We start from the raw sequence: 20607 nt of genomic DNA, 5'->3' as shown, positions 1-20607 counted from the left end.
CCAGCACTTTTGGAAGACTGAGGCAGCAAGATCGCTTGAGACAGGAGTTTGAGACCAGCCTGGGCAACATAATAAGACCCCATCTCTACAAAAATAAAAAACATTAGCTGGGTATGGTGGTGCGTGCCTGTAGTCCCAGCTTCTCAGGAGGCTGAGGCCAGAGGATCGCTTAAGCCCAGGAATTCGAGGTTACAGTGAGCTATAATCACAGCACTGCACTCCAGCCTGGGTGACAGAGTGAGACCGTGTCTCTAAAATTTTTTAATTGGTTTAATTAAAAATAGAGAGGATGAGATGAGAGTGAGATGGGGATTTTTCTTTCCCCACTCCCTCTCTGCTGGTAAAGGCTGCATTTCTCTATTGAAGGCCACGGCTCCTAACAGCTATCTCTTCCATAGCTGCAGCTCTTGCTGGGTTCCAGTAACTGCCCCCTCTCTGCCTCTTCAGGCCAGCAGGTAGCAAGGGCTCTCTATTATTGCTGGCCCCAGGATGCGTTACCATCCCTCTTTGGTTTCCTTTTTTTTTTTTTTTTTGTGAGACGGAGTTCGCTCTTGTCACCCAGGCTAGAGTGCAACGGCGCTATCTTGGCTCACTGCAACCTCCACGTCCTGGGTTCAAGCATTTTTATCTGCCTCAGCCTCCCTAATAGGTGGGATTACAGGTGAGTTCCACCACACTCGGCTAATTTTTGTATTTTTAGTATAGATGGGGCTTCTCCAAGTTAGCCAGGCTGGTCTTGAACTCCTGACCTCAGGTGATCTGCCCGCCTCGGCCTACCAAAGTGCTGGGATTACAGCCGTGAGCCACCCAGCCTCTTTGGTTTCCTTTGACCCTGCCTACACTTCTATAAATAGTTTCTTCCTTAAACTCTCTTCAACTCCTCTTTGAAGAGCCATATGTTTCTTTCTTCTTCTTATTCTTCTTTTTTTTTTTCTTTTTGTTGTTGTTGTTGAGACAGGGTCTCGCTTTGTCACCCAGGCTGGAGTGCAGTGGCACAATCATAGCTCACTGCAACCTCGACCTCCCAGGCTCAAGCAATCCTCCCACCTCATCTCCCGAGTAGCTGGGATACAGACGTGCACCACCACGCCCTGCAGTTCATAATTTTTGTATTTTTTAATTTTTTGTAGAGATGGGGTCTTGCTATGTTGACCAGGCTGGTCTTGAACTCCTAGCCTCAAGCAATCCTCCCACCTCAGTCTCCCAGAGTGTTAGGATCACAGGAGTGAGCCACCGTGCTCGGCCAAGTCATATGTCCCTTAAACTGGCTCTTACTGATACACACCAAGAGGTTGGGTTACTTTCCCAAAGTCACACAGAGTAAGTGACAGGGCAGCTAAGAGCATTGTCACTGGAACACAGAGCAGGGTGGAGGCTTTTTCAGCCTCGCCAGCCTGCCCAGCCCCCTCCCAGGGTCCCTATGCCCTGCCCAACCTGCTGGAATCTGTGATCCTTTTGTTGGGATGGGATTGAATTCCCTAGGGCTCCTGTCCCAGACCTGGCCAGCAGCTCCAGTAACCAGAGCTGTGTGAGAAGAAAAGGCCAAGCCACTGGGGCAGCCGCACCCCAAACAGAGGTGAGGTCTCCGATGAGTCATGCCCGTGAGGGGCCACTTCCCCTGTCCTAAGGGCCACTGCTCACCAAGGACACAGAACACTGTCCTCCTCTTTGACCTTTGCCTGCAGTGTTTTTCATCCCTCCCTCTCCCACCCAACAGGTGTCCAGGAGCTAGGACACCTGTCCTCCACCCCCACCCTGGGCCTCCAGAGACATGAGATGTGCGCAGGGCTCTGGGTGGGGCCTTCAGGCTCCCCAGCTTCCCCCTTCCAGCCCCAGATCCTCTCAGATTCCCAGAGATGGGCTCCAGCCAGGGAGGGTGGGGCTGCCCCTGGGACCATCAGGAGTCACGGGCTGCCTGGGCAGTGACAGAGCCCTGCAGGGAGCAGACCTTCACTTGGCTCTGCCTCCGCTGACTCTAGCGCCATGGCCCGGCACCTGCTCCTCCCCCTTGTGATGCTTGGTAACCTCAGGGGACAAGAGTGGCTGCAAAGGGCCTGGGTCCTGGCATCTGGGGGGCTGGAGAGCAGGATTCCTGGTTTCTGTGTGGGGAGCAGGAAGTCAGAGAGAAGGAAGTGAGGCAGCAGAAGGCGAGGATGTATCAGAGGAGGGAGAGGGAGGCCTGGGTGCCCTGGGGAGACGGAGGCTAGGAGGCTGGGGGAGGGAGTCAGGGAGGGCACATACTGAGTGCGAGTCGCCAGCCTCTTCCTGCCTACCTCTGTCTTTCCAGTCATCAGTCCCATCCCAGGAGCCTTCCAGGACTCAGGTAAGGTAGCCGGACTGGGGGAAAGTCACGTGCAGAGGCAGAAAAGACCAGAGGACTGGCATGGGTGCTGGCAGGGGTTGCTGAACGGACAGGGAAGTGGGAAGATAGGGTCGGGGGTTGGAGAGCAGGAAGTGGGGCTGGGCGGTGCAGGCCTGGAAGTCACAAGTGTCCTCCTCTCTTTCCCCTCTGGCTCCCAGCTCTCAGTCCTACCCAGGAAGAACCTGAAGATCTGGGTAAGGAAGAGGCCTTGGCACCCTCAGACCTTAAAGGAGGCTAAGGCTGGTCAGGCCATGAGGGAGGTGGAAAAGACCAGAAATGTAGACAAGCCTGGGTCCTCTATGTTCTTTGTTCAGAGGGGCAAACTGAAGTGGGTGGAGGACGGGCCTTCGTCCTGAGTTACCTGGGCTTCTGGAGTGGGGAACCCGAGGGGAGCTTTGGCTTCCACGGCTCCCCGTTGCAGACTGCGGGCGCCCTGAGCCCTCGGCCCGCATCGTGGGGGGCTCAAACGCGCAGCCGGGCACCTGGCCTTGGCAAGTGAGCCTGCACCATGGAGGTGGCCACATCTGCGGGGGCTCCCTCATCGCCCCCTCCTGGGTCCTCTCCGCTGCTCACTGTTTCATGACGTGAGTATTCGCCCTGGTCCTGGCCCCTCTCCGCCAAAAGCTGGCCCCCGCCCCCGCAGTTGGTCCCCTCCTCCCGCCCCACTTCCGTCCTCAAGGATAATTTGGAGCCAAGCTGTCCCCAAAGCGAGGTGCTATTCGAGGCATCATGGTTCCGAGTGGGGCAAGGCTGCCGGACTGGTCCCACCACTCCACTCAATATCCGGGTCTGAATCCCATCTTTCCAATGACCCCCCCACCACCAGCTCCAAATCGGATTTGCTCTTCCCCTTTGAGGAGTATCAGCACCAAATCTGGATCGGATAGCACCTGCCCCTCTGGCTCTGAGCCCCTGCCCCCAACGAGGGTCTGCCCCCTCCATAGGGTCAACCTAACCTCCTACTGCCCCGGTCGAGCGCAGGAATGGGACGCTGGAGCCCGCGGCCGAGTGGTCGGTACTGCTGGGCGTGCACTCCCAGGACGGGCCCCTGGACGGCGCGCACACCCGCGCAGTGGCCGCCATCGTGGTGCCGGCCAACTACAGCCAAGTGGAGCTGGGCGCCGACCTGGCCCTGCTGCGCCTGGCCTCACCCGCCAGCCTGGGCCCCGCCGTGTGGCCTGTCTGCCTGCCCCGCGCCTCACACCGCTTCGTGCACGGCACCGCCTGCTGGGCCACCGGCTGGGGAGACGTCCAGGAGGCAGGTGAGTGGGACGGGACAAGAGGGGAGGGCCTCGGGGAGGTGGGGCTTCGAGAGGTGAGGTTCCTAGGGCGGGGCCTCAGGAGGTGGGGCCACGGAGCGGAGCCTGCGGGGAGCGTTGGAGGGTAGGTTTCTGCGGGTCGGTGGATGAATCCCACACCGATCTCCATGTAGCCTTCTCCCTGCAAGGATTCTCAAACTAAGACCACGGAATCACCCACACGCACCCCATTCCCTCCTTACCTGTCCTTCCAGTTTTTTCTTTCCTGGGTTTAGGCTCCGACTAGGGTTCCCATCCCAGCTCTAACATGTCAGACAAAGCACTTCACCCAGTACATTTCCTCATCTGTAACACGAGGAAAATAGCCATACCCACTTCAAGGGGTGGTTGAGTGGATTAAATGAGAAAATCCATGTAAAGTTCATAGTACAGTGCCTGGCATAGCAATAACCAATGCACTTTACATATTTCACCTCAGGTAATCTATAGTAAAGCACTACAGCATAAGGCTGGCCTATAATAGATATTCAGCAAATGCCAGTCTGTGCCTCCCTCCCATCCGCCTTCCTCTCATTCCATCCACCCCCACTCATCTCTCTACTCCCCACCTCCTCTCTTCTTCCTACCCACCATCATTCATTCAATCATTCTTTCACTCAAGATATTTCTTGAGCACCTTCTACATGCCAGGCACCGTGTTAGGCATTAGAGAGACACCAGTGAACATAAAAAGCCAAAATCCTGCCTTTTCAGAGTTTACATCCTAGGAGATAGACAAGCAACAAATTCAATAAATAAGCACGCATTATGTTAGAAGGTGGGGGGGAATAGACCAAATCTCCATCCCCATCATCCCCATCACCCAAGCTTTCCATGCTCCCAGGGCCCCCACAAATATCCACATCAGCCGTGGTCAGACCTGTGCCCATCCTCGGGGCTTTGGGTAGGTGCTACAGGGGAAGATGCTACAGCCTCTGCTTGTGGAGGTCCCATCAGGGCAGGAGGTGATGAGGAAGCGTCACTGTGAGCCCCAGGAAGTCTGTGTGAATGGGGCCAGGCCATCCTAACAATGGGCACCCAGAGAGGGAGATTTCTGCAGAGATTTTTGAAGAGAGGGTACATTGCAGGAAGATGGGGGGAGATGAAGGCCACCCTGTGGACCCAGATAAGTCATGTTAGATGAAGAAGGGCCAGGATGCCAGGCTGGAGTGAGAGGGGTACAGGCACCTGGGCTGCAAAGGCTGCTGTGGCCCGGCCATGAAGACCTTAAGATCAGACTGAGGGCCAGAGCACCCCACCAGCTCCAGGGACGCCCAGGACAATCCCCAACTTCCCTGGTGAGCCCCAAGTACAGCTTCAGCCATCACCTGACCTCAAATTCTTTTCTTTTTTTCATCAATTCTTTTTTTCTTTTTGAGACAGAGTTTCACTCTTGTTGCCCAGGCTGGAGTGCAACGGCGCGATCTAGGCTCACTGCAACCTCCGCCTCCCAGCTTCAAGCAGATTCTACTGCCTCAATCTCCCAAGTAGCTGGGATTATAGGCACCCACCACCACGCCCAGCTAATTTTTTGTATTTTTAGTAGAGACAGGGTTTCACTATGTTGGGCAGGCTAGTTTTGAACTCCTAACCTCAGGTGATCCACCTGCCTCGGCCTCCCAAAGTGCTGGAATTACAGGTGTGAGTCACCGCGCCTTTGACCTCAGATTCTGAGTGAGTTGGGGAAGGAGTTCTGTCTGTACTTCCCCCCACCCCCTACTCCTTTCTGGATCCTGAAGCTGTTTCCGTCAAAAGCAGGATGGGCTGCAGCACCAAGTTTAGACAGTGTGATCCGTTTATTTTTCTTGGTGAGATCAGAACTGAACTTGAGTAGCATTCCTCTTCATTGCTGAAGTGAAGAGTGGATCAGAAGGCTGGGTCAGTTATCCAGGCCCAAAGCTATGCAGCCTCAACTAGTGTAGTTGTTTAGAATGCCAAGACGTCACAAATGAGAGGTTTTCATGAACTGGGAACTGACTGGAGGAGGGGAGTTGAGAGAGGAGACAGGGATGACACCCAGATTCCATGCTTGGCAACTCAGGACAGGACCATGTCAAGTCCGTATGGCATCTCTGTGAAAAGATGTCTCTGGACCAACACAACTCCACGTGAGAGCTCAGAACTTAATGGTTTTAGTCCCTACATTGCATCCTTTGTTGCAGTGCACAACCTGCACAACCATGCATGGCAGCTCTCACTAGGAGCTTGATGAGACCATTCCTGAGATGAAAAAGTAGAAAGAACAGATAGAAGCAGGAGGAGATGTGGTGAATGTGGTGGGCTGAGAGGCCATGGGGCATCTAGCTGATGTCCAAGAAGCAGCCGCAGGAGGCAAACCTGAACCCTGGGAACTGGGGATGCCATACCTGCCTCACAGCACCTGCTCTCTGGTTCTGCCTCCAGATCCTCTGCCTCTCCCCTGGGTGCTACAGGAAGTGGAGCTAAGGCTGCTGGGCGAGGCCACCTGTCAATGTCTCTACAGCCAGCCCGGTCCCTTCAACCTCACTCTCCAGATATTGCCAGGGATGCTGTGTGCTGGCTACCCAGAGGGCCGCAGGGACACCTGCCAGGTGAGGGAAGGCCCCGGCACCTGCCTGGCAGGGCCAGAGTCCTAACCAGTGACAAATAGATAAAGGACATCTCTCCAAGCCTCATCTGCAAAAGGAGGGCAAGATTGCCAAGGGATGGGGTTGACGTGAAGTTTTTTGTTTGTGTATTTTGAGACAGAGCCTCACTTTGTCGTCCAGGCTGGACTGCAGTGGCGCAATCTCGGCTTACTGCAACCTCCCCCTGCTCCACCCCCACCGCTCAAGCGACTCTTGTGCTTCAGCCCCCCAAGTAGCTGAGATTACAGGCATGCACCACCACAGACTGCTAATTTTGCATTCACTTGCGCCTGGCCAAGTGAATTTATTTATGTATTTATTTATTTATTTATTTAATTTATTTTTTGAGACGGAGTTCCTTTTTTTTTTTTTTTTTTTTTGAGACGGAGTCTTGCTCAGTCGCCCAGGCTGGAGTGCAGTAGCATGATCTCAGCTCACTGCAACCTCCGCCTCCCGGGTTCACGCAATTCTCCTGCCTCAGCCTCCCGAGTAGCTAGGACCACAGATGCCCGCCACGACGCCCAGCTAATTTTTTTTTTGTATTTTTAGTAGACACGGGATTTCACCAGGTTAGCCAGGATTGTCTCGATCTCCTGACCTCGTGATCCACCCGCCTCAGCCTCCCAAAGTGCTGGGATTACAGGAGTGAGCCACCGCGCCCGGCCGAGACGGAGTTTCACTCTTATTGCCCAGGCTAGAGTACAATGGCACGATCTCAGCTCACCACAACCTCTGCCTCCCGGGTTCAAGCGATTGTCCTGCTTCAGCCTCCCAAGTAGCTGGGATTACAGGCATGTGCCACCACGGCCAGCTAATTTTGTATTTTTAGTAGAGATGGGGTTTCTCCATGTTAGTCAGGCTGGTCTCGAACTCCCGACCTCAAATGATCCGCCTGCCTCGGCCTCCCAAAGTTCTGGGATTACAGGCGTGAGCCACCATGCCCAGCTATTTATTTATTTATTGAGACAGAGTTTTGCTCTTGTTGCCCAGGCTGGAGTGCAATGGCACGATCTTGGCTCACTGCAAACTCCACCTCTCGGGTTCAAGCAATTCTCCTGGCTCACCCTCCCAAGTAGCTGGGATTACAGGCATGAGCCACCATGCCCAGCCAAGGCCGAGTGAATTTAAAAACCAAAGACAGCATAGCCAGGAGCAGTGACTCATGCCTGTAATCCCAGCTAATCAGAAAAATTGAGGCGGGAGGATCACTTGAGCCCAGGAGTCTGAGACCAGCCTGAGCAACATAGTGATACCTCATCCCAAAAAAAGAGACAAACTGGCTGGGCACAATGGCTCACGCCTGTAATCCCAGCACTTTAGGAGACCGAGGCACGTGGATCACTTGAGGTCGAGAGTTTGAGACCAGCCTGGCCAACATGGCAAAAACCCATCTCTACCAAAAATACAAAAATTAGCCGGCTGTGGTGGTGTACACCTGTAGTCCCAGCTACTCGGGAAGCTGAGGCAGGAGAATCACTTGAACCCGGGAGGCAGAGGTTGCAGTGGGCTGAGGTTGCACCACTGCACTCCAGCCTGGGAGACAGAGCGAGATTCCGTCTCAAAAAAGAAAAGAAAGAAAGAAAAAGAAAGGGAAGGAAAGAAGGAAGGAAGGGAGGGAGGGGAATTATTTGAGCTAGTAACAACAAGAATCACTTGGCTCTAATGACAACTGCAGGATTATCTTGTGTGGCTTTGAATGCACTCCCCTGGTGCTCTTGGCTCTGGCTGCCATCGGCCTTCTGCTTACAGGGATTTCTTCTGTTTAGAGCCGCAGGGAATGCAGAGGACAAGGCCTAGCCAAGGAGGGTTTCTAGGAGAAGGGAGAAGGTGGTGTATGTTGGGCCAAAAGGAGGTGCAGGACCTTTTCGAGTAGGTCCCTGGGCTGACCCCTTGACATGCAGTCATCTGCCACTAGGGTGACTCTGGGGGGCCCCTGGTCTGTGAGGAAGGCGGCCGCTGGTTCCAGGCAGGAATCACCAGCTTTGGCTTTGGCTGTGGACGGAGAAACCGCCCTGGAGTTTTCACTGCTGTGGCTACCTATGAGGCATGGATACGGGAGCAGGTGATGGGTTCAGAGCCTGGGCCTGCCTTTCCCACCCAGCCCCAGAAGACCCAGTCAGATCCCCAGGAGCCCAGGGAGGAGAACTGCACCATTGCCCTGCCTGGTGAGTGGGCGGCACCCCTGGATGTAAGCGGGACATGGGAGAGTGAGTTGGGATGGAGACTGCTGGGAGTGATTGGGTTGCAGGAGGCCCACTGACCCAGGCCTCTCACCCCTCAGAGTGCGGGAAGGCCCCGCGGCCAGGGGCCTGGCCCTGGGAGGCCCAGGTGATGGTGCCAGGATCCAGACCCTGCCATGGGGCGCTGGTGTCTGAAAGCTGGGTCTTGGCACCTGCCAGCTGCTTTCTGGAGTGAGTGAAAATCTACGTTTCAAGCCGATCCTTGCCCCTCCCTACAGCCTGAGATACCATCCATTCGGCCCCAGCCCCTCCCCAGGGGGTGTGGGGGGGGCGGGGTCCCATTCGGAGGTGTAGGATCCAGCACAAAAAGAGGGGTCCTGGCCTGGCAGGGGTGGGTAGAGGCATGGTAGATAGAAGTTCGATCCCGGAGGCGGGGGTGTGAGTGAGCTGTTGGAATGGGGGTGTCGTGGGGATCCCGCCAGGATGCAGGATCCTCGCCTGGCAAGTCTAAGCCGGGGTGTGAGGTTTCCAGCCACGTGTGCGGGATCCGGCCCACGTCCCTCGGCCCCCATCCCGCAGCCCGAACAGCTCCGACAGCCCACCCCGCGACCTCGACGCCTGGCGCGTGCTGCTGCCCTCGCGCCCGCGCGCGGAGCGGGTGGCGCGCCTGGTGCAGCACGAGAACGCTTCGTGGGACAACGCCTCGGACCTGGCGCTGCTGCAGCTGCGCACGCCCGTGAACCTGAGCGCGGCTTCGCGGCCCGTGTGCCTACCCCACCCGGAACACTACTTCCTGCCCGGGAGCCGCTGCCGCCTGGCCCGCTGGGGCCGCGGGGGTGAGCTGGGGACCGGCGCTGGGCCGGGCGGCACCGGGCGGTGCAGGGGCCGTCTGGGCCGCAGCGCGGGCTCCCTGCCTTTTCCCTTCCAGAACCCGCGCTTGGCCCAGGCGCGCTGCTGGAGGCGGAGCTGTTAGGCGGCTGGTGGTGCCACTGCCTGTACGGCCGCCAGGGGGCGGCAGTACCGCTGCCCGGAGACCCGCCGCACGCGCTCTGCCCTGCCTACCAGGAAAAGGAGGAGGTGGGCAGCTGCTGGGTAAGCGGCGGGGGCGGGGCCCGCGGAACGCGGGCCCGAGAGGGCTCTAGGAAGAGGGCGGGGCCTGTGGAAGGCGAGTCCAAGTGGGCTCTAGGGAGAGGGCGGGGCCTGCGGAAGGCGGGTCCGAGTGGGCTCTAGGGAGGGAGCGGGGCCTGGGGAAGGCGGGTCCGAGTGGGCTCTAGGAAGGGGCGGGGCTTGCGGAACTGGGAATGGGGCGGAGCCGGGGTGGAAGCGGGGCCAGAACGAGCTGGGGGTGGGGCCTGCCCCTAGAGAACTTTTGGGAGGGAGCTGAGGCGGGCTCTGAGCTGGTGCTATGGTTTCTCTCTATCTCTGGATTTAAGGAGAATCTTAAAGTGAGGGCTGAATTCTTACACAAATTAGTATTTGGAGTCTGATTTGGAGAAGGTGGAACTTGATACTTCCGCAAATGGGAAAATCTGGAGTCCTGGAAAGCCCCAGGAGCTCTGATATTCTCTGCACACACGCAGAGGCAAGTAACACACACACTTTGTTGCTGCAGAATGACTCGCGTTGGAGCCTTTTGTGCCAGGAGGAGGGGACCTGGTTTCTGGCTGGAATCAGAGACTTTCCCAGTGGCTGTCTACGTCCCCGAGCCTTCTTCCCTCTGCAGACTCATGGCCCATGGATCAGCCATGTGACTCGGGGAGCCTACCTGGAGGACCAGCTAGCCTGGGATTGGGGCCCTGATGGGGAGGAGACTGAGACACAGACTTGTCCCCCACACACAGAGCATGGTGGTGAGCAGGACGCTTTTGGGCCCTAGGGGCTCCTGGGAGTGCACAGACCCATGGCAGGGGCTCAGGGGTCAGCCATGGGGCCCCAACTGAGGTGGCCACCTCCTCTCCCTAGCCTGTGGCCTGCGGCTGGAGGCTGCTCCAGTGGGGGTCCTGTGGCCCTGGCTGGCAGAGGTGCATGTGGCTGGTGATCGAGTCTGCACTGGGATCCTCCTGGCCCCAGGCTGGGTCCTGGCAGCCACTCACTGTGTCCTCAGGTGGGTCTCACTCGTCTCCTAGGCGAGAGACGGGAGGGGAGAATGGAACAGAGCCAAAGACTTGTTTTTGTTATTTGTTTGTTTGTTTGTTTAAAAAAAATTAACAATGAGATCTTGCTGTGTTGCCCAGGCCAGCCTCAAGCAATCCTCCTGCCTTGGCCAACGTACTAAGATTACAGGCATGAGCCACTGTGCCTCACCCAAAGGACTCTTAAAATAGTGGGATATTCTCCTTTAAGCATCTTACAGCTGGGCGCAATGGTTCACACCTGTAATCCTAGCACTTTGGGAGGCCGAGGCGGGCAGATCATGAGGTCAGGAGTTCAAGACGAGCCTGGCCAACATGGTGAAACCCCTCTACTAAAAATACAAAAATTAGCCAGGGGTGGTGGCAGGCGCCTGTAACCCCAGCTACGTGGGAGGCTGAGGCAGGAGAATCGCTTGAACCCAGGGAGGGCAGAGGTTGCAGTGAGCCAAGATTGCGCCACTGCACTCCAGTCGGAGCGACAGAGCAAGACTCTGTCTGGGGTGGGGCATGAGGGAAGAATCTTACAGCACTGGGAGATGTTTTGACCTAGAAGGGAGATTTGGAAGGAGGGATGATGAAGGAGTGAGTGGCATGACCCCAGAGAGTCATCCTTCCCCTGGGCTGGGAAGGACTTTGCCAGCAATGGGAGGAGCAGAAGGTGACATTGGACCTTGTTCCAACAGGCCAGGCTCTACAACAGTGCCTTACATTGAAGTGTATCTGGGCCGGGCAGGGGCCAGCTCCCTCCCACAGGGCCACCAGGTATCCCGCTTGGTCATCAGCATCCGGCTGCCCCAGCACCTGGGACTCAGGCCCCCCCTGGCCCTCCTGGAGCTGAGCTCCCGGGTGGAGCCCTCCCCATCAGCCCTGCCCATCTGTCTCCACCCGGCGGGTATCCCCCCGGGGGCCAGCTGCTGGGTGTTGGGCTGGAAAGAACCCCAGGACCGAGGTGAGACCCCTGGGTCACGGGAACGAGGAGTAGCTGGAGGCCAGAGCCCTGGAACAACTTTGTCTCCTCTCCCCAGTCCCTGTGGCTGCTGCTGTCTCCATCTTGACACAACGAATCTGTGACTGCCTCTATCAGGGCATCCTGCCCCCTGGAACCCTCTGTGTCCTGTATGCAGAGGGGCAGGAGAACAGGTGTGAGGTACAGGGGCCTGGGCGTCCTGGAGTAGGCAGGGGAGAGGCAGTGTTGGACTACTGTACCCTAGAGAGATAGCAGAATTGGAATTTTTTTTTTTTTTTTTTTTTGAGACAGAGTCTCACTCTGTCCCCCAGCTGGAGTGCAGTGGCGCGATCTCGGCTCACTGCAAGCTCCACCTCCCTGGTTCATGCCATTCTCCTGCCTCAGCCTCCCGAGTAGCTGGGACTACAGGCACCCGCTACTACGCCCGGCTAATTTTTTGTATTTTTAGTAGAGACGGGGTTTCACTGTGTGAGCCAGGATGGTCTTGATCTGATCTCGTGATCCGCCGGCCTCGGCCTCCCAAAGTGCTGGGATTAGAGGTGTGAGCCACTGCGCCCGGCCAAGGAATTTTTTTTTTTTTTTTTTTTTTTTTTTGAGACTGAGTCTCGCTCTGGTACCCAGGCTGGAGTGCAGTGGTGTGATCTTGGCTCACTGCAACCTCCACCTCCCAGGTTCAAGAGATTCTCCTGCCTCAGCCTCCCTAGTAGCTGGGATTACAAGCATGCACCACCACACCTGGTTAATTTTTGTATTTTTAGTAGAGACAGGGTTTCACCATGTTGGCCAAGCTGGACTCAAACTCCTCACCTCAAATGATCCGCCCACCTTGGCTTCCCAAAGGGTTGGGATTAGAGGTGTGAGCCACTGCACCTGGCCAGGATTGGAATTATTGGGTATTTGGCCCCAAATGGGACCCTAGCTGGACCCGGGAGAGAAACCAGGGACCTGGATGTCTAGGGATGCAGACCAGAGTGCTTCGTGGCCAGACCCTGGGGAAAGGGGGAGGGGACCAAGAGGAAGGGCAGCAGACCCACGTGGCCTCGCTCCAACTCTGCAGATGACCTCAGCACCGCCCCTCCTGTGCCAGATGACGGAAGGGTCCTGGATCCTCGTGGGCATGGCTGTTCAAGGGAGCCGGGAGCTGTTTGCTGCCATTGGTCCTGAAGAGGCCTGGATCTCCCAGACAGTGGGAGAGGCCAACTTCCTGCCCCCCAGTGGCTCCCCACACTGGCCCACTGGAGGCAGCAATCTCTGCCCCCCAGAACTGGCCAAGGCCTCGGGATCCCCGCATGCAGTCTACTTCCTGCTCCTGCTGACTCTCCTGATCCAGAGCTGAGGGGCTAGGGTCCCAGCACCACTTCCCCCTTCTCCACCCTCTACTTCCCGCCCAGTGGGGCTGGAATGTGGCCCAGCCGGCTGGAACCTCAAGGGCCCCACCCACCGAGATTGCAGCGGCTCTGGCTAATTGGGCCTCAGTGCCCGGGCTATTTTGAACCCAGGAATCCTTGGGGGTGGTGGGAGGAGCGGACAATAAAGGTGTAAACACAGGTACCTGTGTGGCCTTGTGGCATCGCCGTGGGCAGGCTGAGGGGCTGGGCATCAGAGGCTAAGCGGGAAGCCCAAGGGGGAGGTCCCCTCCCTCCTCCCTCCTCCGGCCTCTGAGTCAGGCCTTGGGCTCTCAGGAAATGTACCCTGATAACCTGGCAGCGATTCCTTCATTCCTGTCCCAGGGCAGGGAAGTCGGGTGGCCAGCTGGCTGTGTGTCACCTGCCCAGTGGAGTCAGCACCCTCGGCACGTGCTGGACATCTCATCCCCTGCTCAGACCCGCTGCCCTCGCTGCCCGCCATAGACACACCTCAATGCACAATGCTCCGATGTATCCCCTGCACACACACAACACTTGGGCCCTTCAAGGGTCTGCCACTTTCACATTCTGCCCAGAACTTGGGTCCCTTATATGTGAACCTCACTCCCTTACCCACTGCTTACCTGCACCTCCCTGCATTCATTCAACCCGTGTTCCCTGGTGGCTACTAAGTCGTGGCACAATTGGGGTCTGATATATAAGCCCACAAAGTCCTCCCAATCTAGTGGGGACACATGTGGACATCCCTGGCTGGGATTGGGAAGATGTCATAGCAGTGATGTTTGAGCACAGAAAAAGGGAAGGTGGTTTCCAGCCAATGAATCTACAATTAAAAAGTAACGCAAAACCAGAGACGAGGTGCGGCAGCTCATGCCTGTAATCCCAGCACTTTGGGAGGATCGCTTGAGGCCAGGCATTCCAGACCAGCCCGGGCAACAAAGCAAGACCCCCATCTCCACTTTTTTTTTTTTGAGACAGAGTCTCATACTGATGCTCAGGCTGGAGTGCAGTGGTGCAATCTCGGCTCACTGCAACCTCCACCTCCTGGGTTCAAGCGATCCTCCTGCCTCAGACTCAAGTAACTAGGATTGCAGACTCAAGACACCATGCCGGACTAATTTTTGTATTTTTATTTAACTTATTTATTTTTAATTTTTTGAGACAGAGTTTTGCTATTGTCGCCCACACTGGAGTTCAATGGCGCAATCTCGGCTCACTACAACCTTCACCTCCCAGGTTCAAGCAATTCTCCTGCCTCAGCCTCCTGAGAAGCTGGGATTACAGGTGCCCACCACCATGCCCAACTAATTTTTGTATTTTTAGTAGAGGTGGGGTGTCTCTATGTTGGCCAGGCTGGTCTTGAACTCCTGACCTCAGATGATCCGCCCACCTCAGCCTCCCAAAGTGCTGGGATTTACAGGCGTGAGCCACTGCATCTGGCCTATTTATTTTATTTATTTATTTATTTTGAGATGGAGTCTCCCTCTGTTGCCCAGGCTGGAGTGCAGTGGCACAATCTTGGCTTCCCAGGTTCAAGCAATTCTCCTGCCTCAGCCTCCCGAGTAGCTAAGATTACAGGTATGCGCCACCACGCCTGGCTAATTTTCTTTGTATTTTTTAGGAGAGACGGGGTTTTACCATGTTGGCCAAGCTGGTCTCAAACTCCTGATCTTGAGAATGATCCTCCCACCTTGGCCTCACAAAGTGCTGGGATTATAGGTGTGAGCCACCACATCCAAGCTCCACAATTTTTTTTGTTTGTTTGTTTTTTGAGACGGAGTCTCGCTCTGTCGCTCAGGCTGGAGTGCAATGGCGCAATATCTCGGCTCACTGCAACCTCCACCTCCTGGGTTCAAGCGATTCTCCTGCCTCAGCCTCCTGAGTAGCTGGAATTACAGGTGCGTGCTACCACGCCTGGCTAATTTTTGTATTTTTAGTAGAAATGGGGTTTCACCATGTTGTTCAGGATGGTCTCAAACTCCTGACCTCGTGATTCGTGTGCCTTGGCCTCCCAAAGTGCCGAGATTAGAGGCGTGAGCCACCACACCCAGCCTCAACAGGTGTTTTGAACGGCCAGAGTGGCCCTCAAGGAGGATACATGCCTCACTCCCACCGCAGCCACACGGCAAGCCTTCTTTCCCTGAGCCTCTGCCCTCTGCACCCCATCCCCCCATCTTCGCCTTACCACCTTTTATAATCCCTTTCGGTCTCAGTTTCCAAGGCAATTCCTCGAGGACCCTTTCACAATGCCAGCCTTTGCCAGGCTGTGGTGTGCTCACGCCATTCTTTTTCATCACTATTCCTAGCTTGAAATTATTGTGTAATTGCAATTTTTTTTTTTAAGACAGGGTCTCCCTCTGTTGCCCAGGCTGGAGTGCAGTGGCGTGATCATAGCTCAATGCTTCGTTGAACTCCTGGGCTCAAGCAATCCTCCTGCCTCAGCCTCCCAAATAGCTGGAACCATAGGCATGCGCCACAATGCCTGCCTAATTTTTATATTTCTTTGTAGAGATGAGGCCTCGCTATATTCCCCAGGCTGGTCTGGAACTCCTGGCTTCAAGTGATGCTCCAGCCTCAGCCTCCCAAAGCCGACTAGCCACCTTGCCAGCCTGTTTGTGATTATTTGATTGAAGTGTGTCACCCCTACTTCACCATGAGCTCAGGGCTCAAGGGGGACGGGGCTGGTGCCTGTTTTGTCCTGGACACCTGGGAACATCATAGGCACTTAGGAAATGTCTGTGGGATGATTGGTGCTGCTCCACAAGCTCGCCACCACCCATGAGGTGCAGGCATCGCAGAAAGGGCCTGGCAGGGGACAGACCATAGTGTCTTAAGCTCCCATAACCAGCCTAAGGAGGGAGGGAAGAAGGGAGGAGTGGCTGTGGCTCCAGATAATAAAAGCTGGGGCCAGGCCCTGGGGGGCATAACTGGCCTGAGATAACCTGAAAGACCTGAGGCGGAGGAGAGTCGTCACATTCCAGGGAGACTGCACACACACACAAACCACATGCACGTGCATGCACGCACACTCAGACACACACACTACACACACAGGGACACACACAGCCTACACATGTGCACATACAGCCTGTACATGCACACACACACACATACCACACCACATAAGAGGACACACACAGCCTACACAGGCATACACACACACCACATACACACTACACACCGGGACACACACACAAAAGGCCTATGCATGTGCACACACATACACACGGACACATACATGCACACACACGGGCCTGCAGCTCTGAAAGGACTCATGACTTTGGTGGCAAGAGGAGCTGGCGGAGCCCAGCCAGTGGGCGGGGCCAGGGGAGGGGCGGGCAGGTAGGTGCAGCCACTCCTGGGAGGACCCTGCGTGGCCAGACGGTGCTGGTGACTCGTCCACACTGCTCGCTTCGGATACTCCAGGCGTCTCCCGTTGCGGCCGCTCCCTGCCTTAGAGGCCAGCCTTGGACACTTGCTGCCCCTTTCCAGCCCGGATTCTGGGATCCTTCCCTCTGAGCCAACATCTGGGTCCTGCCTTCGACACCACCCCAAGGCTTCCTACCTTGCGTGCCTGGAGTCTGCCCCAGGGGCCCTTGTCCTGGGCCATGGCCCAGAAGGGGGTCCTGGGGCCTGGGCAGCTGGGGGCTGTGGCCATTCTGCTCTATCTTGGATTACTCCGGTCGGGGACAGGTAAGTGAGGACGTGGGGGCAGGGTGGGGACAATGCACTGGAGGGAGCCGGCGTGATCATTTTCTGGGGTGTGCCCTTGTCTGGGGCCCAAGAAAACCCCCGGCCTCCCTAGCTCTTGGCCTCTCTTTCCCACCTTGGCTCTGTCAGGGAAGGGGCCAGCCCTCTGGAGCAGTGGTGGGTACTAAGGGGTCAGGGAACCCGAGTCTTCCCTACTCACCCCTCCTCTTTCTCTTTCTTTCTAGGAGCGGAAGGGGCAGAAGGTGAGACTTTCCTCGGAGAGGGAGGAGGGGAGGGGGAGGTGACTTGGATCGGATTCCCCTGGGGTTTAACCAGTGCCTGGCCTTCAGCTGGGCTGCCTTCCAACTAGATTCTCTTAGGGCTCCCAGAGTGGGGGGTTTTAGCCCTCACCTTATGGGCAGAGAAGCAGGGACTTGCCCAGGGCACACTGCCAGTGAAGGTGCAGCTGGGATTCAGATCCACGTCTGACTCCCAAAGTGGGGCAATCGAGGTGGTTTTTTTGGTTTGGTTTTTGTCTTTTGAAACAGGGTCTGGGTCTGTCGTCACCCAGGCTGGAGTGCAGTGGCCCGATCGCAGCTCACTGCAGTCTCAGTGATCCAGCCTCCCGGGCTCACGTGATCCTCCCACCTCCCCACCTCAGCCTCCCTAGTGGCTGGGACTACAGGTGCATGCCATCACACCCAGCTAGTTGTGTTTTGTTTTTGTTTTTGTTTTTGTTTGGTAGAGATGTGGGTCTCACTATGTTGGCCGGGCAGGTCTTGAACTCCTGGGCTCAAGCGATCCTCCTGCCTTGGCCTCTCAAAGTGCTGGGATTACAGGTGTGAGCCACCGTTCCCATCCTGGAGGTGGTTTTGAGGGAACCAAACCAAGGGTCTCCTTTCTTGGAAGGCACCCAACCCAGCTCTGAGTCAGACCGGCTTTCAATCCTGGCTTCCCCATGCACTGGCTGTGTGTCATTGGCCAAGTCCCCCCACTTCTCTAAGCCTTAGACTCCTCACCTCTAAAATGAAGCTGGTCATGTCCGTCTCCTGGGGCTGTGGAGAGGATGCAGGGAGATGAGGAAGCGAAAGCCCCTCCAGGGCCTGGCACAGCCGCTAGGCTCTCTAAATAGTGGCTATTGTCATGATGATAAGGGAGAGAAAGATCTGGTCTGCAATTTTCTCTGCTCCTAGATGACTTTGTGAAGAGCAGTTGGGCTCCACTCCAAAGTGGCCTCAATGGGGGTGGGGCTGGGGCTGTCCTGGAAACTAGACATTCACATCACAGGAGCCCAGTTCTGCTGTTGGTTTGTTGAATATATGTCCACGACGCCACAGGCACTGCAGACATGAGAATCTGCCCCTAGGGAATGCCCAGATTGGTGTGGTGGAAACAGACACAGTTGTGGACTCCGGAACAATTGTGAGACTGGGCAGCATCGGGGAGCATGGTGGAGGTTGGGGGGTGCTGGGCTCGGAGGCAATGCCCAACTCAGCCAGCAGAAGCCCGCCTGTCTACGGAGGGGCTGCTGTTCCAATCAAGCATCCACAGGCAAAGGGAAGTTTGCCAGACAGTAAGGATGGGGAAGGGCATACCAGGTAGAGTGACCTGGATCAGCCAAGGTCCCGGGTAAACAAGTGTGTGGCCTGATGTACACAACTGAAGGGTCCAGAGGGGACGGCTGGGTCCGATGGCGGTGCCATGGTCTGTCTGGAATGTATCTTAAGGACCGCGTGGAGCCAAGAAGGGTTTAAGCAGGGCTGTGGCCTGGTCAGATTGGGGGTTTATGAAAATCTTCAGACTTGTAAGGGGCGGGATGGATGGAAGGCTTGCAAGGAGAGAAGCTGCCATGAGACCTGAATTAGGTAATGGGTAGTGGACAGAAGGGGCACAACTGCCCATGCCTGGGAGGGGACAAAGGGGTGTTGACTCCTGTGAACCCACTTCCCAAGCTCTATATCAGAGCTCCTGGGCTGCATAGGAGTGGCCAGGCTAACAACCTGACCCCTTCCCTTCCTCCCTGGGCAGCTCCCTGCGGTGTGGCCCCCCAAGCACGCATCACAGGTGGCAGCAGTGCAGTCGCCGGTCAGTGGCCCTGGCAGGTCAGCATCACCTATGAAGGCGTCCATGTGTGTGGTGGCTCTCTCGTGTCTGAGCAGTGGGTGCTGTCAGCTGCTCACTGCTTCCCCAGGTACCAAATGGTGAAAGTCAAAAGTGGGCTGGAGGTCAAAGTTAATGGGTCAATCCAGGTCAGAGGTTGGGGTTCTTGGGTTGGGTCTGAGAGTGTCAGTTCTAAGTCTGGAAGGACCAGTTAGGAGTGAAGGTGAGGGGTCAGAGGTTACATGATAAAACTAAGGTGCAATTTGAGACCTAAAAGGGGCTGATCGGAATCAGGGGTTGGCAGTGGGGGTTGGGGAACAAGGAGAGGTCTCCTGGGTCTCAGCCTTTGCCCCCTGCCTGCAGCGAGCACCACAAGGAAGCCTATGAGGTCAAGCTGGGGGCCCACCAGCTAGACTCCTACTCCGAGGACGCCAAGGTCAGCACCCTGAAGGACATCATCCCCCACCCCAGCTACCTCCAGGAGGGCTCCCAGGGCGACATTGCACTCCTCCAACTCAGCAGACCCATCACCTTCTCCCGCTACATCCGGCCCATCTGCCTCCCTGCAGCCAACGCCTCCTTCCCCAACGGCCTCCACTGCACTGTCACTGGCTGGGGTCATGTGGCCCCCTCAGGTGAGGTGGGACGCTGGGTGCCTAGAGGTGTGGAGGGGCACCTGACTTGGGGAGGGGCCCAGGGTAAGCCTCTTTTACCCCCACAGTGAGCCTCCTGACGCCCAAGCCACTGCAGCAACTCGAGGTGCCTCTGATCAGTCGTGAGACGTGTAACTGCCTGTACAACATCGACGCCAAGCCTGAGGAGCCGCACTTTGTCCAAGAGGACATGGTGTGTGCTGGCTATGTGGAGGGGGGCAAGGACGCCTGCCAGGTAAGCACAGGCCCGGGGGGCAGATGACCAGTGCAACTTCGGAAAGGAGGCCTGGCCCGGTCCTGATGGCTGCTGTGTGGCTTCTCTCCTCAGGGTGACTCTGGGGGCCCACTCTCCTGCCCTGTGGAGGGTCTCTGGTACCTGACGGGCATTGTGAGCTGGGGAGATGCCTGTGGGGCCCGCAACAGGCCTGGTGTGTACACTCTGGCCTCCAGCTATGCCTCCTGGATCCAAAGCAAGGTGACAGAACTCCAGCCTCGTGTGGTGCCCCAAACCCAGGAGTCCCAGCCCGACAGCAACCTCTGTGGCAGCCACCTGGCCTTCAGCTCTGCCCCAGCCCAGGGCTTGCTGAGGCCCATCCTTTTCCTGCCTCTGGGCCTGGCTCTGGGCCTCCTCTCCCCATGGCTCAGCGAGCACTGAGCTGGCCCTACTTCCAGGATGGATGCATCACACTCAAGGACAGGAGCCTGGTCCTTCCCTGATGGCCTTTGGACCCAGGGCCTGACTTGAGCCACTCCTTCCTTCAGGACTCTGCGGGAGGCTGGGGCCCCATCTTGATCTTTGAGCCCATTCTTCTGGGTGTGCTTTTTGGGACCATCACTGAGAGTCAGGAGTTTTACTGCCTGTAGCAATGGCCAGAGCCTCTGGCCCCTCACCCACCATGGACCAGCCCATTGGCCGAGCTCCTGGGGAGCTCCTGGGACCCTTGGCTATGAAAATGAGCCCTGGCTCCCACCTGTTTCTGGAAGACTGCTCCCGGCCCGCCTGCCCAGACTGATGAGCACATCTCTCTGCCCTCTCCCTGTGTTCTGGGCTGGGGCCACCTTTGTGCAGCTTCGAGGACAGGAAAGGCCCCAATCTTGCCCACTGGCCGCTGAGCGCCCCCGAGCCCTGACTCCTGGACTCCGGAGGACTGAGCCCCCACCGGAACTGGGCTGGCGCTTGGATCTGGGGTGGGAGTAACAGGGCAGAAATGATTAAAATGTTTGAGCACAACTTGCCGTGCATGTGTGAAGT

General features: G+C 56.7%; 2 protein-coding genes across 6 annotated transcripts, besides 12 other annotated features; both read left to right on the top strand.

The window, feature by feature from the left end:
• Positions 1709 to 2245: an enhancer, noted in NCBI's record as "H3K4me1 hESC enhancer chr16:31161095-31161631 (GRCh37/hg19 assembly coordinates)". NCBI's record gives its function as "activates a minimal SCP1, AML or CMV promoter by ChIP-STARR-seq in naive and primed H9 embryonic stem cells {active_cell/tissue: H9 hESC(naive and primed)}" and the evidence as "EXISTENCE:reporter gene assay evidence [ECO:0000049][PMID:30033119]".
• On the top strand, positions 1953 to 13093 carry PRSS36 (serine protease 36). Of its 5 annotated transcripts, none has more exons than NM_001258290.2 (15): positions 1953 to 2020; positions 2288 to 2323; positions 2521 to 2556; positions 2784 to 2946; positions 3344 to 3624; positions 6064 to 6230; positions 8182 to 8431; positions 8548 to 8677; positions 9026 to 9282; positions 9375 to 9523; positions 10059 to 10296; positions 10409 to 10550; positions 11262 to 11527; positions 11604 to 11725; positions 12603 to 13093. In NM_001258290.2, exons 1-15 carry the CDS (start codon positions 1984 to 1986, stop codon positions 12879 to 12881), a joined length of 2553 nt encoding a protein of 850 aa, NP_001245219.1. In that variant the 5' UTR covers positions 1953 to 1983; the 3' UTR covers positions 12882 to 13093. The 5 variants fall into 5 exon arrangements, with proteins under 5 accessions (NP_001245219.1, XP_016878457.1, NP_775773.2 ...); XM_017022968.2 differs by having other exon boundaries at positions 9375 to 9538; positions 11604 to 11718; NM_173502.5 differs by having other exon boundaries at positions 9375 to 9538.
• Positions 2246 to 2781: an enhancer, noted in NCBI's record as "H3K4me1 hESC enhancer chr16:31160559-31161094 (GRCh37/hg19 assembly coordinates)". NCBI's record gives its function as "activates a minimal SCP1, AML or CMV promoter by ChIP-STARR-seq in naive H9 embryonic stem cells {active_cell/tissue: H9 hESC(naive)}" and the evidence as "EXISTENCE:reporter gene assay evidence [ECO:0000049][PMID:30033119]".
• Positions 2782 to 3319: an enhancer, noted in NCBI's record as "H3K4me1 hESC enhancer chr16:31160021-31160558 (GRCh37/hg19 assembly coordinates)". NCBI's record gives its function as "activates a minimal SCP1, AML or CMV promoter by ChIP-STARR-seq in naive H9 embryonic stem cells {active_cell/tissue: H9 hESC(naive)}" and the evidence as "EXISTENCE:reporter gene assay evidence [ECO:0000049][PMID:30033119]".
• Positions 8995 to 9074: an enhancer, noted in NCBI's record as "active region_10750". NCBI's record gives its function as "activates an Ori minimal core promoter by ATAC-STARR-seq in GM12878 lymphoblastoid cells {active_cell/tissue: GM12878}" and the evidence as "EXISTENCE:reporter gene assay evidence [ECO:0000049][PMID:35858748]".
• Positions 9125 to 9534: a silencer, noted in NCBI's record as "silent region_7412". NCBI's record gives its function as "represses an Ori minimal core promoter by ATAC-STARR-seq in GM12878 lymphoblastoid cells {active_cell/tissue: GM12878}" and the evidence as "EXISTENCE:reporter gene assay evidence [ECO:0000049][PMID:35858748]".
• Positions 9585 to 9874: a silencer, noted in NCBI's record as "silent region_7411". NCBI's record gives its function as "represses an Ori minimal core promoter by ATAC-STARR-seq in GM12878 lymphoblastoid cells {active_cell/tissue: GM12878}" and the evidence as "EXISTENCE:reporter gene assay evidence [ECO:0000049][PMID:35858748]".
• Positions 10806 to 11339: an enhancer, noted in NCBI's record as "H3K4me1 hESC enhancer chr16:31152001-31152534 (GRCh37/hg19 assembly coordinates)". NCBI's record gives its function as "activates a minimal SCP1, AML or CMV promoter by ChIP-STARR-seq in primed H9 embryonic stem cells {active_cell/tissue: H9 hESC(primed)}" and the evidence as "EXISTENCE:reporter gene assay evidence [ECO:0000049][PMID:30033119]".
• Positions 11340 to 11875: an enhancer, noted in NCBI's record as "H3K4me1 hESC enhancer chr16:31151465-31152000 (GRCh37/hg19 assembly coordinates)". NCBI's record gives its function as "activates a minimal SCP1, AML or CMV promoter by ChIP-STARR-seq in primed H9 embryonic stem cells {active_cell/tissue: H9 hESC(primed)}" and the evidence as "EXISTENCE:reporter gene assay evidence [ECO:0000049][PMID:30033119]".
• Positions 12157 to 12849: an enhancer, noted in NCBI's record as "H3K27ac-H3K4me1 hESC enhancer chr16:31150491-31151183 (GRCh37/hg19 assembly coordinates)". NCBI's record gives its function as "activates a minimal SCP1, AML or CMV promoter by ChIP-STARR-seq in naive H9 embryonic stem cells {active_cell/tissue: H9 hESC(naive)}" and the evidence as "EXISTENCE:reporter gene assay evidence [ECO:0000049][PMID:30033119]".
• Positions 12850 to 13543: an enhancer, noted in NCBI's record as "H3K27ac-H3K4me1 hESC enhancer chr16:31149797-31150490 (GRCh37/hg19 assembly coordinates)". NCBI's record gives its function as "activates a minimal SCP1, AML or CMV promoter by ChIP-STARR-seq in naive H9 embryonic stem cells {active_cell/tissue: H9 hESC(naive)}" and the evidence as "EXISTENCE:reporter gene assay evidence [ECO:0000049][PMID:30033119]".
• On the top strand, positions 16292 to 20586 carry PRSS8 (serine protease 8). Its single transcript, NM_002773.5, has 6 exons — positions 16292 to 16605; positions 16848 to 16865; positions 18631 to 18793; positions 19066 to 19337; positions 19424 to 19590; positions 19684 to 20586. Exons 1-6 carry the CDS (start codon positions 16521 to 16523, stop codon positions 20008 to 20010), a joined length of 1032 nt encoding a protein of 343 aa, NP_002764.1. The 5' UTR covers positions 16292 to 16520; the 3' UTR covers positions 20011 to 20586.
• Positions 17231 to 18177: an enhancer, noted in NCBI's record as "NANOG-H3K27ac-H3K4me1 hESC enhancer chr16:31145163-31146109 (GRCh37/hg19 assembly coordinates)". NCBI's record gives its function as "activates a minimal SCP1, AML or CMV promoter by ChIP-STARR-seq in naive H9 embryonic stem cells {active_cell/tissue: H9 hESC(naive)}" and the evidence as "EXISTENCE:reporter gene assay evidence [ECO:0000049][PMID:30033119]".
• Positions 19126 to 20071: an enhancer, noted in NCBI's record as "H3K27ac-H3K4me1 hESC enhancer chr16:31143269-31144214 (GRCh37/hg19 assembly coordinates)". NCBI's record gives its function as "activates a minimal SCP1, AML or CMV promoter by ChIP-STARR-seq in naive H9 embryonic stem cells {active_cell/tissue: H9 hESC(naive)}" and the evidence as "EXISTENCE:reporter gene assay evidence [ECO:0000049][PMID:30033119]".
• Positions 20587 to 20607: the final 21 nt, after the last annotated feature.

This window comes from Homo sapiens, chromosome 16 (genome assembly GCF_000001405.40).
Source record: "Homo sapiens chromosome 16, GRCh38.p14 Primary Assembly".
Classification (NCBI taxonomy): domain Eukaryota; kingdom Metazoa; phylum Chordata; class Mammalia; order Primates; family Hominidae; genus Homo; species Homo sapiens.
Note: the sequence above shows the minus strand (reverse complement) of the source record. Positions and strands in the feature narration are given on the sequence as shown.

Coding starts and splice junctions, on each gene's coding strand:
- PRSS8 (NM_002773.5), top strand. CDS start 16,521: ATGGCCCAGAAGGGGGTCCTGGGGCCTGGGCAGCTGGGGGCTGTGGCC. Junction 18,794..19,065: donor GCTGCTCACTGCTTCCCCAG/GTACCAAATGGT, acceptor CCCTGCCTGCAG/CGAGCACCACAAGGAAGCCT. Junction 19,338..19,423: donor GGGTCATGTGGCCCCCTCAG/GTGAGGTGGGAC, acceptor TTACCCCCACAG/TGAGCCTCCTGACGCCCAAG.
- PRSS36 (NM_173502.5), top strand. CDS start 1,984: ATGGCCCGGCACCTGCTCCTCCCCCTTGTGATGCTTG. Junction 2,557..2,783: donor GGAAGAACCTGAAGATCTGG/GTAAGGAAGAGG, acceptor TCCCCGTTGCAG/ACTGCGGGCGCCCTGAGCCC. Junction 2,947..3,343: donor GCTGCTCACTGTTTCATGAC/GTGAGTATTCGC, acceptor GGTCGAGCGCAG/GAATGGGACGCTGGAGCCCG.